The sequence below is a fragment of the Homo sapiens genome, chromosome 12 (genome assembly GCF_000001405.40).
Source record: "Homo sapiens chromosome 12, GRCh38.p14 Primary Assembly".
NCBI lineage: Eukaryota > Metazoa > Chordata > Mammalia > Primates > Hominidae > Homo > Homo sapiens.
Genome location: NC_000012.12, coordinates 125,678,655 through 125,697,155, shown reverse-complemented (window position 1 = coordinate 125,697,155; position 18,501 = coordinate 125,678,655). Strand labels below are relative to the sequence as shown.

Here is an 18,501-nt window from a genome sequence, read left to right as displayed (position 1 = left end):
GAGAGAAACCATATTACTTGGTTAAGTATGTCCGTGAATCCAGTTAATATTGTCATCAAAATATTCTCTCCAAGATAGAGATCAATCCTCCTGCAATTCTTCCCTCCTCTGTCCCTGAAACACCCCAAGCCCATGCCCCTCCAAGCTGACACTCTTCATATGGCTGACACTCTTCACCTCCTTGCAGTTCACGTCCCACAGTGAGGCTTCCCCTGGTCTCCTAGATCAAAGTCCCTATTCCAGTCACTCTCTACACTATCATCCCATGTTATTTTACTATGAGCAGCCATTGGTATTGAAATCATTTTACACTATGGCCTTGTTTACAGATGATCTCCCTCCACTAGGGTGCCCTACCTGAGGGCAAGAATTTTCCTCTCCTGTTCACTGCAGTAGCTTTTGTCTTCTTTCCTCAAAGCTACCACGCTGCCTCTCCTTCTCAGCTAGCAGCTATACCTGCACATGGTAAATGTTTAATATAGCTGTTAGCTCCCCTTCTCAGCTAGCAGCTATACCCTGCACATGGTAGATGTTTAATTAATAAATAAAGGATTTGAAAGTTAGTATCATAAGGAAAAAACTGGGTTTTCAAGAAAAAGCTGAACATACATTTCTGGTCACTGTCCTCTAACCAGAGTGAGAGCGAGAAGGAGAGTGAGAGAGAGAGAGAGAGAGACAGAATGAACCCGTCTAAGAACAAAAGGTACAGAGGAGGAGGCCCATCAATATCTTTCCATGACAATAGGCAGGATAGTCTGGCTCCTAAGAACCAGGCCTGTGAGAGGTGACACATTGGGGCAGATGCAGAGACAAAGACAGCTGGAAGTTCGCTAGGAACACCCAGGACATCCAAGTGTTTTCCGTCATAGACTGAAACTTGAGACTGATCTGGCCAGTAATCTGGATTGGCTGACTACTTTGTCACTCTTCATCCAGTTGCCATGGACTACATCTTTGTTTCCCCTAAACTTCATATGTTGAGATCCTAACCTCAATGTGATGGTATTAGGAGGTTGGATCTTGGGAGGTGATTAGGTTTAGAGGAGGCCCCCAGGGTAGAGTTGTCATGATGAGATTAGTGTCCTCATAAGAAGAGACAGGAAAGAGTTTTCTTCTTTTCTTTCTTCACCATGTGAAGATACAGCTAGAAAACAGCCATCTGCATGCCAGAAAGAGTGCCCTCCCTAGACACCAGATCTGTCAGCACCTTAATCTTGGATTTCCCAGCCTCCAGAACTGTGAAAAGTAAATGCCTGTTGTTTAAGTCACCCAGTCTGGGTATTCCATTCCAGCAGCCCAAGTAGACTAAGATACCAATGTTTGTGATATTGCAGCTTCTCAGCTGTGGCTCCTTTTAGTACGTCACTAAGATGGTGCAAAAGCAAAAGACTGTAGCCTTAACAAAACCAATGAATAATGACAACCAATTTCCTCTCACACTGAGGATTTATTGAGCATCCCCTGTGATCCAGGAGCTGTTGTTAAAAATGAAAATAGAGCAGAAAACAGAAGAGCAGAACCCCTGCCCTCATGGAGCTGACACATGGAAAATGAGATAACAAGTAAGCGGTCATATAGAAATCTGGGGGCCTAGAAAGCAGGAGGAGGATAGAAACTCTGTGGGGTATCATTATCAATAGGATGGGCAAGAGACCTTACTGAGAAGGGGACAGCATAGCAAGGAGCTGAAGGAGGTGAGGAAGGATGCATGCAGGTTCCTGTAGGAAACAGGTTCAGGCAAAAGAGGACAGCTGGGGAGAGGCCCTGAGCAAGGAGCTTGTGGGACATAGTCAAGGATGAGCTGGGAGAGGGGAGAATGGCTGGAGCTATGTCCCCAGAAGGCAAGAGCAGATGGGACTTAGTGCAGCCAGGAGGGGCTGCCTTAGGTGGTCTGTCCGTAACATAGGAAGGAGGGCAGATTTTAATGCCATAGACCCAGACTGCATTGGGAGGACAGGTTGTTGAAGGTTTCTTCTGCTTGCTTTTATTTCCTTTGTGAAATTGGAAGCTTGGACATCAGCTGATCATGAGAATGGGAGGAAGAGTGTTGTAGGTGTGAGGATAAAAGGCCAAAGTACACGTGTTAGTCATTTTAACACTGCTATAAGGAAATACACCAGACTGGGCAATTTGTAAAGGGAAGAGGTTTAACTGACTCACAGTTCCACATGGCTGGGGAGGCTTCATGAAACCTTCTTCAAGGCAGGCACTTTCTTCACAAGGCGACAGGAGAGAGAAGAGCAAAGGAGGAACTTCCAAACACTTATGAAACCATGAGATCTCGTGAGAACTCACTCGCTATGGCGGAAAAGCATGGAGGAAACTGCCCCCAGGATCCAATCACCTCCCACTGGGTCCCTCCCTTGATACGCGGGAATTATGGGGATTACAATTCGAGATGAGATTTGGGTGGGGACACAGAGCCAAACCATATCGGTATGGAATAGTCACCAGGAAAGCGGGTGAGTGGATCGTCAGGCCGCACAAGAACCCACCTGGCTGTCAGTGAGAACAGTCAGCAAGGATGGACGTTGCCAGGTCAGCAGCAGGATGTGGGTGCCCAAGAGTGAAGAGCTCAATTCTATCAGGGTGGGTGTTTTGCCAGGAAATAGGATGGTCACTATGGCAGTTGTCCAGGGAGTGTTACAAAGGGCTGAGGCAGGCTAGATGGGAATTCTAGCAACCTAGAGAAGGCTTTGGAGCAATGAGAACTCAGCTTCAGTCAGTTAGTTGCTGCACAAATAAATGAAAGCATGAATGTGTTAGCTACGGTATGAACGTGAGACAAGGGTCAATAATTTTTCCGATTTTTTATTGTTTTCTATAACATTTAGATTTTATGAGAAATCTTTTCTAGCAAATAATTCCCTATTTCAAAGCAAAAAGCATAATTTCATTAAACATGAAAAAAATCACATGACCCCCAAAGCTACTTAAAACCATGCCCCAGCATGGATTTTTAAAAATTCCAGTTTGTTTGTTTTTGGTTTTGGTTTTGGGGTTGTTTGTTTTTGTTTTTTGGTGGAGTCCCACTCTGTTTTCCAGGCTGGAATGCAGTGGCACAATCTTTGTTCATGGCAACCTCCACCTCCAGGGCTAAAGCGATTCTTGCGCCTGAGCTTCCCAAGTAGGGGGATTACAGGTGCACATAACCATGCCTGGCTAATTTTTGTATTTTTGGTAGAGATGAGTTTCACCATGTTTCCCAGGCTGGTCTCAAACTCCTGGCCTCAAGTGATCTGCCCTCCTTGGCCTCCCAAAATGTTGGGATTACAGGTGCGAGCCACCATGCCCAGCCTCCAGTTTTGTTTTTTTTTAATGAATCAAATATAAAATCAGTTCCAAGAGCTGACAAATGACTTGCCAAAAATGGAAACTTGATGAATTCAATGATATTGATGCAAAAATTGTACAGTCAAAATTAACAAAGAAAACCCACTAGCATGTTTTTGAAAATCACAGAATGGCTCATTGGGATTTATTCTTCAAATGCGGAGTGGTTGAATATTTTAAAATGCATTAATGTATTGCAAACCTTATATTAAAAGAGCTAAGGAGAAAAATCATTAGATTATGCCCACAAATGCATTGCATTTAATGAAATTCTACACATGTATTAAAAAATGGATTGATGCATACTTTTTATGTGTATATGGATATGTATACACACACACACGTACACACAGACACACACACACGTATCTCAGCTGAACACCAGCACTTTACTTAATGGAAATCCTAGAATCTCTGCATTGCCCAATCTCCCCATTACTATTTGATTTGGGATTGTGTTGGAAGTCAATGTAATTAAAAAAGAGAATATAAATGGGGAATAAAAATTGAAAAGGTAGAGATGAAACTATTCTTATATCTACCTCTAGAGATAAAATTACAAATAAAAAATATTTGTAGATGATGTAACTACATACCTAGAAAATCCCAAAGAATGAAAAAACTACAAATATGAAGAGAAGTTGGGGAATTAGCATGTAAAATGTCAATATAAAAACTTAATAAACTTCCCATATACAATCAAAAGGAGTCAGATGACATAATAGAAGAGTAATTAATGATAATAGAACACCTAGGTGAAAATATTAGCAAAATTTGTCCACAATTATATGAAGAAAGTTGTTAAACGATCCTGGTAAATATGAAAGTAGACTCAAAAAAATGGAAAAATATCCTGTTCTTGTATGAAAAAAAATGCAGCCTCAGAAAAATGTCATGTCTTCATAATTTAATTTATAAATGTAATATGATTCCAATAAAAATAATTTTCCCTGAAGCTAAAACATCTTAATTTTAGAAATTTAATTTGGAAAGATAAGCAAGTATCTCCAAAAATGCCAGGTAGTGGGAAGGATATCAGTAGATCCAAGCCTCTGACATTAAACAGAGTGTATGACTGTTTAGACTGGTAGACCAATGGAGTAGACTAAATGGTTTTATTATATTTATTCATTTATTTATTTATTTTGAGATGGAGTCTTGCTCTGTCACCCAGGCTGGAGTGCAGTGGCGAGATCTCAGCTCATTGCAGCCTCCACCTCCCCAGTTCCAGCGATTCTCCTGCCTCATCCTCTGCGGTAGCTGAGATTACAGGCATGCTCCACCACGCCCGGCTAATTTTTGTATTTTTAGTAGAGACAGGGTTTCACCAATGTTGGCCAGGCTGCTCTTGAACTCCGGACCTCAAGTGATCTGCCTGCGTCAGCCTCCCAAAGTGCTGGGATTACAGGCGTGAGCCACTGTGCCCAGCCGACTAAATGGTTTTGGAGTAACTGGTGAGCAATATGGGAAGGTTACAAAACCTAAATCTGCTATACCAAGATGCATTCCAAACAGGTAAGATGTTTTCTTAAAGGAATAAACACAAAAAGGAAAGAAAGACGGCAAGAATACAACTATGTGGATATTAGAGCAAAACATGGATGAATTCCTTTACAACTTAAGAAAAGGTAAAAGTTCCTCAATATGACTCAAAATCACAGAAAAATGGGCAAGAGATATGAACAATAATTTTGCCAAAAATAAATGCAAATGGATAATAAACATATAAGATGTTTATCCTCACCCATAATAATATATAAATTAAACCTGCATAAAGTATCATTTCTTGCTCATTAAATTGGCAAAATCCAAAAGTTTAACAGCATGTCCTGTTGGCCAGGCTGTGGGGAAGCCGGTGCTCTCACACATTGCCCATAGGAATGCAAAATATTAAAGGAAGGAGGAGGAAAAGAAGACACTTATGAGGCAATTGGGGAAATTTGAACACAGACTGGATGTTTGAGGATAGTGTTAAATTTTAATCAGTTTACGGTATTATGACAATATTAAAAATGAGGTTTAATTTGTTTTGTTTTGTTTTGAGACAGAGTCTCGCTCTGTTGCCAGGCTGGTGTGCAGTGGTGCGATCTTGGCTCACTGCAACCTCTGCCTCCCGGGTTCAAGCAATTCTCCTGCCTCAGCCTCCCAAGTACCTGGGACTTCAGACGTGTGCCACCACACCCAGCTAATTTTTGTATTTTTAGTGGAGACAGGGTTTCACTATGTTAGCCAGGATGGTCTCCATCTCTTGACCTCGTGATCCACCTGCCTTGGCCTTCCAAAGTGCTTGGATTACAGGCATAAGCCACCATGCCTGGCCGGGTCTTTTTTTTTTTTTTTTTTTTAGAAATGCACACAAAATTATAAGACGTCTGCATTTTGCTTTGATATAATAATCCAAGAGGAAGGTGGGTAGCGGGTAGAAATAGGGTTGAAATAAAACCGGCTGTGTGTTCATAACTGTAGAGTCTGGAGTATGGGAATGTGGAATTTCACCATACTAGTCTTTCTGCTTTATGTGAGTTGGAAACATCCCGAAGAAAGAAAGGGGAAAATGATGATTCCAAAAAATGCATTCAGCTCATGAAAATGGATTTGCAGCCCTGATTTGAGTTAATCCCCTCCTATTACAGTTGTGAAACCAAAGTTCAGAGAGCATCATGACCAGTGCAACGTCGCAAAGCAAACCAGCAGCAGCACCCAGACCAGGAACATTTCAGCTCCCTCCATCCTGCAAAGAGGGGAGGTTGTCACTGAGCCCCACGGATGGGTTCAGCACGTCTTCACGGCCAGGGAGGACCCTGGGACCGCTGAATAAAATGCTCATTAGTATCATTCTGGTTATTTACTGACAGATACCACAGTCAGAGAAAAACACCGCAATTGCTCTTGTGCTTATCATTAAATGCCTCCTTATGGAAAAATGCTCCTGAGCGGGGCCATAGGGTGAAAAACCATTTACACAGCATTCAATCCCGTGAGCTAAAAATGAGACTGGTAGAATCTGAATTAAGTGAGAAAAAAAAAGTACATTTTTCTCCTGCCAAGGTTACATGTTTCAAGAGCAACTGGAGGAAAAAAATGTTCCCAAATCTAAATATTAGAGGAAAATATTTGCCTCCCGGTACATGCTGGCCATGTAGCAGTGGACATGCGGTGGAGAAAACACTCACTCACAGGGCACCAACCCCATCATGGCCAGGGGCTTCCTGGGATCCCTGCCCGCTAAGGGTCCTCAGAAGCCTGAGTTTCCCTCCCTCACCCAGAGCTGTGTGGTGCCTTCCAGGTGCCTGTCTGCAGTGCCAGCTGCCTCTGGGCTGGCAAAGACTCAACTTCTGAACTCACCTATTGGGGGTGGGGAAAGGGAGGCAAAAGGGATGACCCCTCCGAAAGTGCCACAGTGTCTGCCTGGGACCTGCCCGTGCTGCACTGAATAAACAGGAGGAAGCCGCTCTCTGAAGCTGATGCCATTCATTCTTTAGGAAATGTGAGTGGGAACCACAGGAGGCCAGGGATGCAGTGAACGGTCTGAAAGGTATCAGAGATGATGGCTTCTCTCCCGACCCACGCTCCCAAACAATAACCACAGTCCCTGGGCCAAGGAGTTTGGGAGAATTCACCAAGAGGCCTGATCCTCTCCCCAGCATCCTCAGTCCTGTTTCCTCGTGGCCACCCTCAACCACAGATGGGACTCTGGATCCGCAGCTCTGGGATTAGTCCTGGCTCGGCCTCCAAGCACCCCTGGGCGTGTTCTCTGACTCTGGCCTCAACTCCCTCGTATGCAGGCTGAGGATAATAGTGGCCTCTTCCTGCGTGGGATGGGTCCTTAGGGAAGTGGATGCTGAAACAAGGTTGGAGGAGTAAGAGTTCCCTGAGGGGAAAGCCTGTGAAGGGGAGGAAGCAGGGTCGCGCTGTGAGAGCTCAGACCACGGGCAGATCTGGAAAGACTCCAGAGGCCACATACTTGATGCGGGAGGTTGAGCTCTTGCCTGAGGGGACATCCAAGCAGCACACCTTCAGGACCACTGCAACTTCCACCGAGCCAGCCCCAGCCCCAGGCAGGAGCAACAAGCAGCTCCCTCGAGAGATGGGCTGGTCTCTGAGGCAGTCAGGGAGCTTTGGGGATTTTCTTTTTTTCTTTTTTTTTTTTTTTTGAGACAGGATCTCCTTCTGTTGCCCAGGCTGGGGTGCAGTGGTGCAGTGGTGCGATCATGGCTCACTGTAGTCTAAAACTCCTGGGCTCAAGCGATCCTCCCGCCTCAGCCTCCTGAGTTGGTTGGTCTACAAGTGCACGCCACCATCCCTGGCTAATTTTTTAAATTTTTAGTAGAAACGAGGTCTCACTATGTTGCCCAGGCTACTCTCAAACTCCTGGGCTCAAGCAATCCTCTCGCCTCAGCTTCCCAGAGCTCTGGGATTACAGATGTGAGCACCACCACATCCAGCCTTTTTTTGTTGTTTTTAGGAGACGAGTCTCTCTGCATTGCCCAGGCTGAAGCACGCTAGCTATTCACAGGCAGAATCACAGCTATCAGCTCACTGCATCCTTGAGCTCCTGGGTTCAAGTGATCCTCTCAGCTCAGCCTCCCAAGTAGCTGGGATTACAGATACATACCACCGCGCCAGGCTATGGAGGCCCCAACCGTGCAGTTGATCTCAAGGCCACCTCTGCTGTTCATGGTTTCCTTGCCAATGTCCATTCCAGATTCTCCCACCAACCCTCCCCTCCCCTGGTCCTGGTGGCTCACATGCTAGTAGGACCAAACCTCCCTCCCTGGGGCCCTCAAGCCCTGGTGGCCATGCCCTCCAGAGGCTGGAGTGCCGCCCATGTCCACTCACAGTCACAATGGGGCAAGAGGCACCCATGGGGGTTACCTGAGCTCCACGCTCATTCCTCCTTCCCTTCATGTGTGACCATAGTTTTAGGTGCCCTGGATAAATGGCCACATGACTCCCTTGCTGCTGGTCCTCACATGCAGGAGTCCAGGAGCCCAGGCAGTGGCCATAGCTTGCACTTTAACAAGACCCTTTCTCTGTCCCCCAGAAAGCAGGCACCCCACATTCAGCCATAACCTCCAGCACACAGAGCCCAGAGTTGTGACTATGTCAACACAAACTCCCCCTGAGGACCTGGGGACTATGGGAAGTGGGGCCACTCCTGCTTCTGCACCTTGAGTCCTGGTCCTGTGTGGTCTTCCTGTTGGGGACACAGCACCACATAGAGGTCTGATTCTCCCTAGGTTGGGGGGCAGCATCCCCTTCTCACAGAAGCTGTTATGGAGCTGGTGTTTCAGCAGCATGTTTCCACGCCACTCCCCTGCACTGTCAGGCAGGCAGCTCCGTAAGGTCCAGCACATGAGATGACCAACGTGCATCATGCTCCAGCCCACACCAGCACCTCCTTCCTGTGCAGTGGCTCCCCTGATGCTATGCTGCGTGGGATTCAACGCCTGTGCATTAGTCACCCCAGAACCCCCTGGGGAGAGGTGCTGGCTGGGACCTTGCAGCCAAGAGCGGGAAACCCCTTCCAGCACAGGTGCACGTTTCAGTGGGAACAAGCTCCTGGCCCTTCCAGTACAGAAGGGCCCCAGGAAGCCTGGCTGGCCTCGAGAGATGGGCTGGTCTCTGAGGCAGTCAGTGATGTGCCCTCTGAGGTCCCTCTCCTAGAGGGAGCCCACCCCACAGAGTGCAGAGAGCTGACAGCCTCTAGCTGTGGGCACCTCAGGCTCGGCCTCAGCATCTGAGCCAAGGACATGCTTTTCCTGGGATGCTCCCAGCCAGTGAGCACCGCGGGGGTACAACAGCTCCACATTGCTGGTGTGAGGCTCCTCCATGGCCATCCTTGCATGGGAGCTCCCCCGTGGGTGGGCTGAGGCCTTCTCCAAGCTGCCCTATGATCTGGGCTCCTTCTTTGCTAAACCCTTTCCTTCCTCCTCATTTTCACAGGTGCCAGACATGCATCATCGTCCGAGGGCTCCCCTTGCCTTCCTCTGCACCCTCTCTCCCCTTCCCTGAGTGGGCATCTCCTGTACTTCCAGCTCCACCCTGGTGTCTGCTTCCCAGAGACCCTGCACTGGCACAGCCTCCACGAGGACATTGCCATCACAGGGCACAGCATTGCTCTTGCAGCTGGCAGGCTGGACACTCAGAGGTGGCTGCTGCTGAACCAGGCTTGAGCAGTGAAGTCCACACTGCTGGGGCTGTGTCTCCTCAGTCTCTGCTGCCATGGCCCCTCTGGGCATGTGATCATTGCTCCAGTTTGGGTTGGCCAATGACAGATCAGCTAACGTCAATGGGCTGGGCCTCCTTGTCTACTCATTGTTGAATGCCTTGCCTGTGATGGATGTGTCTGGGTGAGTGCTAACACATTAACATTCAACGGAAGGATTTTCACTTTGTGTCCAATCTCAGGTGATCATCCAGTGTTTCATCCCCAGAACTCCTTGTCCTCAATCTCTCAGATCCATGATTAGCCCACCAGGCCACCCATTACTGCCCATGAGATCATATAAATTCTCACTTCAAGCCACATCCCCTTCCACACAAAGTGGTTGTACAGGGCTCTATTCAAGGTTCTGCCCAGTGTAAAGATCTTTCCTCTCCACTGCCTTTCAAGGCCACGCCTGGGTATGGCTATGATACAGCAGCTGACCATTTTGGTCTCACATCCACATGTTGGTGGGTTCATCTTTAGACTAAGCTCCAGTGTGTTCCCCCTCCTCCAGGTGTCAGAGACCCTCAATATGGCCACAGGTATGTACTGAGGGATGGTGGGTTGCAACAGTTGTGGGCAACATGGGGTCATCCGGCCACAGGTGTACACTGAGGGATGATGGGTTCAACAGTGGTGGGTAACCTGGGGCCTGGATTCTGCCCATGCAGCTTCCTCGTGCCCTCTGATCCTGCTCAGGCTCAGGGCTGGACTTACCATTTCCGTCTTCCAGTGGACCATACTCAGCTGACCTAACGTTATGACTTGGAGGATCCTAAAGAATCCAGCTCATGAAAGACGGTTCCAGAGGCACAATCACTGGTCACTCAGTACCTCACCCACATCAAGGTTTCCATTTCTGCCAGGGCCCAACGGCATGCCAGAGATGCTCCTCAAAAGACATTAAATTCTCTGCTGCAAGCTTTTTTCCATGCTATGGTACCCTCTCAGCAGGGTTGCGAGGATGAACTGGGACACTGGGTGTGATGTTGCATCACGAAGCTAAATACAGACGAGGAAGGCTTGTATGAAGGGGGTCCCTCCCAGCAGAACTCAGAATACAGCATTTGGACACATCTTGGCAGATCACAGTGATGGCTGGAAAAACATCCTCCAGGAACATACCTGGATCAATTGTCTGTGATTTTTAACAGCTGGGGATCTGAAGGGGAAATGCACGTAAAGGGAGGGCTTGGGGAGAAGAGAAAGCAGCCAACAGGGAGATGGACAAACTTCCAGCACCTTCCCCAGAAGGGAAATTTGCAGGGGCTGGCTCACCATTCCACAGCTCCTTTCACCTCCCTCTCCACTTCTGCATCCACTTTAATCCATGATTTATGAATGGAATTAATAGAAACCAATCAGGCATGGCTATGCCTACAGCGCTTTGTTCAACAACACATGTTTCCCATAGTAATTATGTTAGAATAATCACAACACAGAAAAAAAAAATGCCTGGTCATCAGTACTGAATCACGAGTGCTAACAAGACTGATGGTTTTACCAATAAAACTGCCAGCAAAGGAAGCTGGGAGAAAAGACACACAGGCCTAGGGCTGGCCCTGCTTGTCGGCATGTTTTGCAATCATCATTCCAACTTTCAGTGGCTCCATTTCCTCTACTGAGAAAAAGAGGAATTTCTCTAGTTCACTGTTTCAGTTGGTTCTGCAAGACACAGATGTCCTGGGGGAACTGGCCTGGGAAAGAGGGGAGGCATTTCTCATTGTAAACAGTCCACCATTCCCTGAAGTTATTGGCTGTATAATAGAGTTTGTTCGTTTCTTTGTCTGATGCTGTCCTGATCCACTTTTGAGGCTTCTGGCAAAAGGCAGGGGCAGTTCCCCTTCTTCAGTATCTGATTAAGTCCATGTCCCCCACCACTTCCCTTATGGGTTTCCACACTCCAAGCCACTATGCATCTCCCTTAGTGCTCTAGGGCTGGGTATCAAACAACTAGAGACAGCTCTGAGCCCAAGAGCCCAAGAAAGTCCTCAAATTGCCAGTCCACAGGGAGCCCTGGAAACTTAACCAAGCCACTGCACTCGCCACACATTATGTGCCCTGCAACCTTCACTGCCCATGATGCAGCCCTCACTGCCCATGACGCAGCCTTCCCTGACCATGACGCAGCCTTCCCTGACCATGACGCAGCCTTTCCTGACCATGACGCAGCCTTCCCTGATCATGACGCAGCCTTCCCTGACCATGACGCAGCCTTCACTGCCCATGCTGCAGCCTTCCCTGACCATGACACAGCCCTCACTGCCCGTGACGCAGCCCTCACTGCCCATGACACAGCCTTCCCTGACCATGACGCAGCCCTCACTGCCCATGACGCAGCCTTCCCTGACCATGATGCAGCCTTCACCCACAACGCAGCCGTCTGCATAGTCCCGCCTGGAAGTTCCCTCTCTTTTGGAACTGTAAGCAACAGAGTTCTGCCTTTTATCTTTCTGTCACTGTGTTCTGTCTCACCAAAAACAGGACCTTTGAATCTTATAAAACAACTGCCAGAACTTGGGCTCTAGAAGAGGTGGATCTGCGCCCGACCAGTCTTTCGTTGCTCCCCTACTGTTTAGCTGTTCTGTTCCTCACTGCAATTCCTAGTTTTCTCTTGTATCACTCATGCAGCATTGGAACAGCCTAGTGAGTACTCCTGACTCAGACATCCCTGGGCTCAGGTTCTTACCCTCCAATGCTTGTACCTGCATTCTGTGCTCCTCCCTCCCCTCCTCCAAGAAGGGAGTTAAGCATTGCATCTCCTTCAAAGGCTGCTATGAGAGAAAGTCCAGACCACCAAGGACACTCACTAAGACAGACACCGCACACACACATGCACACAAATGCACACAGGCATCCCCACGTACTGGAAACAGGAGACAGAAGCCAAAGCTTCCATCAGGTGGTCTTAGCAGGCAAAGGAGGGCAAACTGAGTTCTCAGGCCCCACGTTCTTGACAGCAATCAACTTGGGCCCTTTGGTGTCATGTTCAAAGAAAGCTACATGACCAGTGACAGCCAAGCTGTCACCATTGTGCAAAGCAGATCCTCAACACACCACTGAAAACTTCTGACCACATTTCTTTACTGCACTGGGAATGATGTTCCCAAATCTTGTAGGCATCTTGTGAGTTATGCATTATACCTTCTGCAACTTAAAGGCATTTACATCTTCAAATGTGAACATTTAAACTATATCACATATTTGGAAACTACATGTTGGCTTTATTTATTCATTTATATTAAGTAAAAAAAAAATGGGAAAAAATGAAGTGGTCTGTTCCTCTCTTTAAATCAGAAAAGCCCTGCTGAGGCCCAAATAGGCCAGAACGCTGGTGGATGACCTGCAAAAAGTGCCTGTGATGTACTGAATTTTGAAACTTCGAGCTGAATTCTGTGGTCGCGTACATGTTTTGGCGAGAGGGTCTGCTAATTGAATTAAATTATTATAAATAGAGGGAAAGGGCAGAACAGGGAAAGTGAAAAGGGGAAGGATGGGGCGGGCGAGGAATAGGCGCAGGGGGTCTAGGACAGGTGCATCCCCAGGTGCGCGCCCCGCCCCTGCAGGACGCGGTGGCACCGCGGTGCGTTCCCAGCCTCCGGCGCTAGAGCGCGCGTCCCTGGCAAGACTCGCAACGCTGGCCCAGCCTCCAAGAGGGACCGGCAGGGGGCGCTCTGCACAGGGACCGGCGGGAGCTGAACCTGTGTGAGAGGCGCGGGGCCACCTGTGCAGGTGCAGGTGGAGCCACTCTGCCAACCCCTGGGGCAGTGGGCGAGGCTGGAGGGAGGATTGCTCTGTGCACAGGGGGAAGACATCTCACCTCTTACAAATCCTGAGGGTACTTTTGCTTTTTTTAAGGCAGTTTGGGAGGCAGTGTTGCAAAGGGTCCAGTAATCGTTGCAAAATCATTTCTCAGGATGTCTTAGAGACAGGAATCCCTGAATTTGAATCTCAGCTCTGCCCTTCACTGTGCAATCCTGGACAAGGGAATTCACGCTCTGAACCTCAGTTCCCTCCACCCCTAAAATGGGGATAATGAGTGCGCCTAAGTCATAGGGTTGGAGTGAGGATTAAATGAGATTCTGCACCTGCAGGTAGCACACAGAGTGCCTGGTAGAGACATGGTGAGCACCCACGCAGGGCTCTGTGAACAAATTTTGCACTTTTCATTAAACCAAATAATAGCTTTGCACAGCTAATCAGCCTAAACTTTACTCTGTTATTTGTTGGCAATTAGATCTGGCTGTTGATCCAATTACCCAAGTCTAGAATTAGATTCTAACCCTGAGCTAAGAAAAGCTGTTTTCAGCTGCTCCAACAACCCACCTGGTAGTAAAGGGACTTTCTGTGATCAGAGGGTTTCTCCTAGTTGGCCACAAGAACATCATGACCTAAAGCTACAGGTAGCAAAGGAAATTGTACTTTTCTCCCAAGCCCTAAGTAATTACAGTATGTCATTGCAGCCTGGCATTTACCTAACTGAATGAAACGATGTGCTGATTCCTGATCCAGCCAAAAGCTTAACTGTCATTTAAATAGGGCATGATATTTAAAATATTAATTTTGTTTTCTTCCAGCATCTTATAACTCCAAAGTATCATTTGGAATATATTTGTGTATATAAAGAATTCATCATTATTGTTTCTCTGTGGCTGAAATGACTGTTGGTTTGACTTCTGGACTTAAGTTGAGCCTCTAGTCATTGGGAAAGAGATGATATAATGAGTTTCTGCATGAAAGCCTGTTCAGTGTTAGAGAAAGATACAACGTAGAGAACCAAAGGTTAACCGCACAAGTGGGAATACCACATCCATCACTTATGATGCATTCTCCATTTCAGTGAGGCTTAATGACAACCACCCTTCCTGCTGCCAAGTCCATCAATAGATTAAAAGTCACTTCAGAATTCCCCAAAGTTCAACACCAATCACAGAAGGAATGCTGGAAATTATTACCTGCCTGCAAAATTCTAGTGCTGGAATGACTATACGATTTATCTAGGGTAGTGTTCTCCAAAGAGTTTTTATTGTGCACCTTTATCCCTATGTGTTTAGACACACGTCCACAAAATAACAATTATTACAGTAGCTGTTATCCTGCCTACCAAATATTTTCAGGTTACTGTTTGACCAAGAACATGATAGGATTATCACTCTCAACCGCTTCTCTTTTGGTGGGTCAGATGACAGGCCCTGTGATTCCAATGGGCTATGAGCAGAAGAAGTGGGTGTGGTTGGGAAGGGAAATCCATGGGGGACAGGGGAAAACCCAGCTGTTCATGTCACCTGTACTCTGTTCAGCAAGATCCAAGCCAACCCTTGCATGACCTGAAGCCCCTGCCTGGACTTTCCTGATGTCATCACCCACTACTGACCCTGGGTGGTCTTGTCAGACCTCCAATGCATCAGCCATGCTCCCCACTTAAGTTTCACTATTCCTCTTCAGTCTCTGGAGCACTCCCTTCCCCCAAATATCCCCTGCCCTTCCCACCCACTCCTTTTAGGTCCATGCTTGGATGTCAGCTTGTCAGTGGGCTTTGCTGACTATTCCCTTTTCAACTTTTGTCTCTGCCACCAACCACACTGTGCATCTCTCCTGCTTTATTTTTCTCCATAGCTCTTTACCCCACATGACCGACTCTGTATTTACTGATGTGCTTGTTTACTGCCTGTCTCCTCTTTCAAAAACATAAGTTCTGTTTATCGTCTCTCTCCAATGCCTAAAACAAAGACCATCATATATTAGGTGCCCAATAAATATTTGTTGGAACAAAGAATGAATAAACATCGAACATACAAACTCCACACACATGCCAGCTTGATGACTTGGCCTCCCTTTCTCCATCCAAACTTGTTTTTGGAGACTTGGGATTTAATGCGCATGTTTTCAAGAGAAACCAGTGTACTGGATTTTTCACATGTAAAGCCTGACTTTTCAAATATTAGCCATTAATCCTAAAGTTTATGAATAAATGCCACAAGGGTCAAATAAAGTCTGTGCAGACTGAATCTGACCCCACCATTTCCCCTTCCACATCCCATCTCAGAGCCCATCTCAGAGAAATTCTTCCATAAACAGGATTGTTCATGGTGATCACAATGACAGCTCACAGGGTCTTGTCCTCTGCAGGGGTCCTGACCTACACATGAGACATCTTCTGAGCTGGTTTCACCTCTGTGCGGCATTACAAAGAGATGTCACCTCTTTGAACTTCCATTATCTCATCTCTGAACAGGGATGGTGATCCCAGTTTGCAGATGATTGTTAAGACTGCCAAAACTAAAATTGCAAATTGCTCATGTCTGTTATAATGACTGATAGATGAGGTTTGTATGGCTTATTATTTTTGCATCTTAGTACCAATCTTAGCTCCCTAAGCATTAATTGACAATGGGGTATCAATCTATTGGTAGGTGTTTTCTGTGCACAGATCTTACCCTTGGGCCATGCACTATTGTCAGCCATTTATCATATAGAATAGAAAGAGAACCAAGCCAGGAGTCTGGGCACATGGATTTTCATCTCCAGTCCACCATCCTGTGTGTCAGGTGCATCTAGGAGCTTAGGACACAGCCATGACTGAGACAGGTATTCCAGAGGCTGATATTCCATAAAGGGGACACTGAGAAAAACATGTAAAGCAGGAAATGGAATGGTGCCTGAGATGAGTGCCCTGAAGAAAAGTAGACCAGAGAAGGGAGACAAGGAGTGCTAGGGGTATGAGGAATGACACTGTGGCCAAGGGAAGAGCAATGAGCTCCAGGAGGTGAGGGAGGAGCCAGGCACTACCTCTGGGAGGTGAGAGAGGAGCCATGGAAGTACCTCTGGGAAGTGAGGGAGGAGCCAGGCGCTCCCTCTGGGGGGTGAGGGAGGAGCCAGGCGCTCCCTCTGGGGGGGTGAGGGAGGAGCCAGGTGCTCCCTCTGGGGGGTGAGGGAGGAGCCAGGTGCTCCCACTGGGGGGTGAGAGAGGAGCCATGGAAGTACCTCTGGGAGGTGAGAGAGAAGCCAGGCGCTACCTCTGGGGGGTGAGGGAGGAGCCAGGCGCTCCCTCTGGGGGGGTGAGGGAGGAGCCAGGTGCTCCCTCTGGGGGGTGAGGGAGGAGCCAGGTGCTCCCTCTGGGGGGTGAGAGAGGAGCCATGGAAGTACCTCTGGGAGGTGAGAGAGAAGCCAGGCGCTACCTCTGGGGGGTGAGGGAGGAGCCAGGCGCTACCTCTGGGAAGTGAGGGAGGAGCCAGGCGCTACCTCTGGGGGGTGAGGGAGGAGCCAGGAGCTACCTCTGGGAGGTGAAGGAGGAGCCAGGCGCTACCTCTGGGAGGTGAGAGAGAAGCCATGGAAGTACCTCTGGGAGGTAAGAGAGGAGCCAGGCGCTACCTCTGGGAGGTGAGGGAGAAGCCAGGCACTACCTCTGGGAGGTGAGACAGAAGCCAGGTGCTACCTCTGGGAGGTAAGGGAGAAGCCAGGCGCTACCTCTGGGAGGTGAGAGAGGGAGACATGCATTACCTCCAGGAGGAGAGGGAGGGAGACATGCAGTTACCTGAGGATATAATGTTGAAGGCAGAAGGAACAAGAAGTGCAAAGGCCCTGAGACAGGAGAGTGTGAGGTTTGAGGAACGTATGGTAGTCAGTGGCTGGAGCAGACCAAGTGAGAAGGAGCAAGTGAGGTCAGAGTAAGGAAGAAGGAATATCACGGACATCTTTATGGGTCATGGTGAGAACTTTGTCTTTTACTCTGAGTGAAACGGGAGTGTATATGGTTAGGAGCAAATGTGATCTGACTTAGGTTTTAACAGACTCATTACTGCAACGTTGAAAACAGATTGAGAAGAAAAGGAGGAGGAGAGGAGACCCCAAACTACACCATACACTGATGTTAAAGTTCATGATGTATTATTCTCTGGACCTGTTTCCTTTTCAACAACATTGAGTGGGGAGCCTCTGTCCCACCCACATCCTGAGACTGATGTGAGTATAACATGCTCCATTGTAAAAGCCAGTTCTTCCCATCATTTTATGCTACGAGGATTCAAGTCCTGGTGCTACCACATGCTAGTTAGGGACCCTGGACCAATTATGTGGCCTCTCTGTGCCTCAGTAAGATGGGGATACTAATAGCTTCCATTCCAAAAGGCTTCTGTGAGAATTGAACAACATAATCCTTATCTAGTATATAGAACAGCGTGATCCAGCATAGGACCCCAGTGAATATTGTCAGCCATACCAGTAGCTTTTGCTCTGGCAACAAATAACACCAGATCTCAATTGCTTGTGCTAACATTAACATTCCCTTCTCTGGGGATCAGCTGTGGGTCAGCTGTGGGTTGTCTGCAACTTTGCTGGCCATTCCTGGGCTCAGGTGAGCTCCACATGTCTTCTCATTTCAGGACATAGGCTGAAGATTCAGTCTGAGATCTGCTGTTCTCATGGTGGACAGCACACAAAGGAGTGCCAGTGGAAACCCACTATATTTCCTGAAGAATCTTCTGTCCTTTCTGTTCTCCTTCAGCTGGTTGAAGTAAGCCACATGAACAAATCCAAAAACAATAGAGTGGGGCTATACACCACCTGATGAGAGAGAGCAAATAATCCAATCCACCTCAGAAGCTAGCAGCAACCATCATCATCATCATGTCATCTTATCACATCATCACATCATCATCATCACCATCATCATCACACTTTCACCATCATCACATCATCATTACTGACATCATCATATCACCATTACTGACACCATCATTACTGACATCATCACATCATCGCCACAATCATCATCACATCACCATCATCACCGTCATCATCACCATCAGCATCACATCATCACCATTATCATTACATCATCATCATCACCATTATCATCAAATCATCATCACCATTATCAAATCATCATCATCACCATTATAATCAAATCATCACCATCAACTTATCACCATCATTACATCATTATATCATCATCACAT

General features: G+C 47.4%; 1 annotated feature.

The window, feature by feature from the left end:
• Positions 13,200-13,299: a silencer, noted in NCBI's record as "silent region_5084". NCBI's record gives its function as "represses an Ori minimal core promoter by ATAC-STARR-seq in GM12878 lymphoblastoid cells {active_cell/tissue: GM12878}" and the evidence as "EXISTENCE:reporter gene assay evidence [ECO:0000049][PMID:35858748]".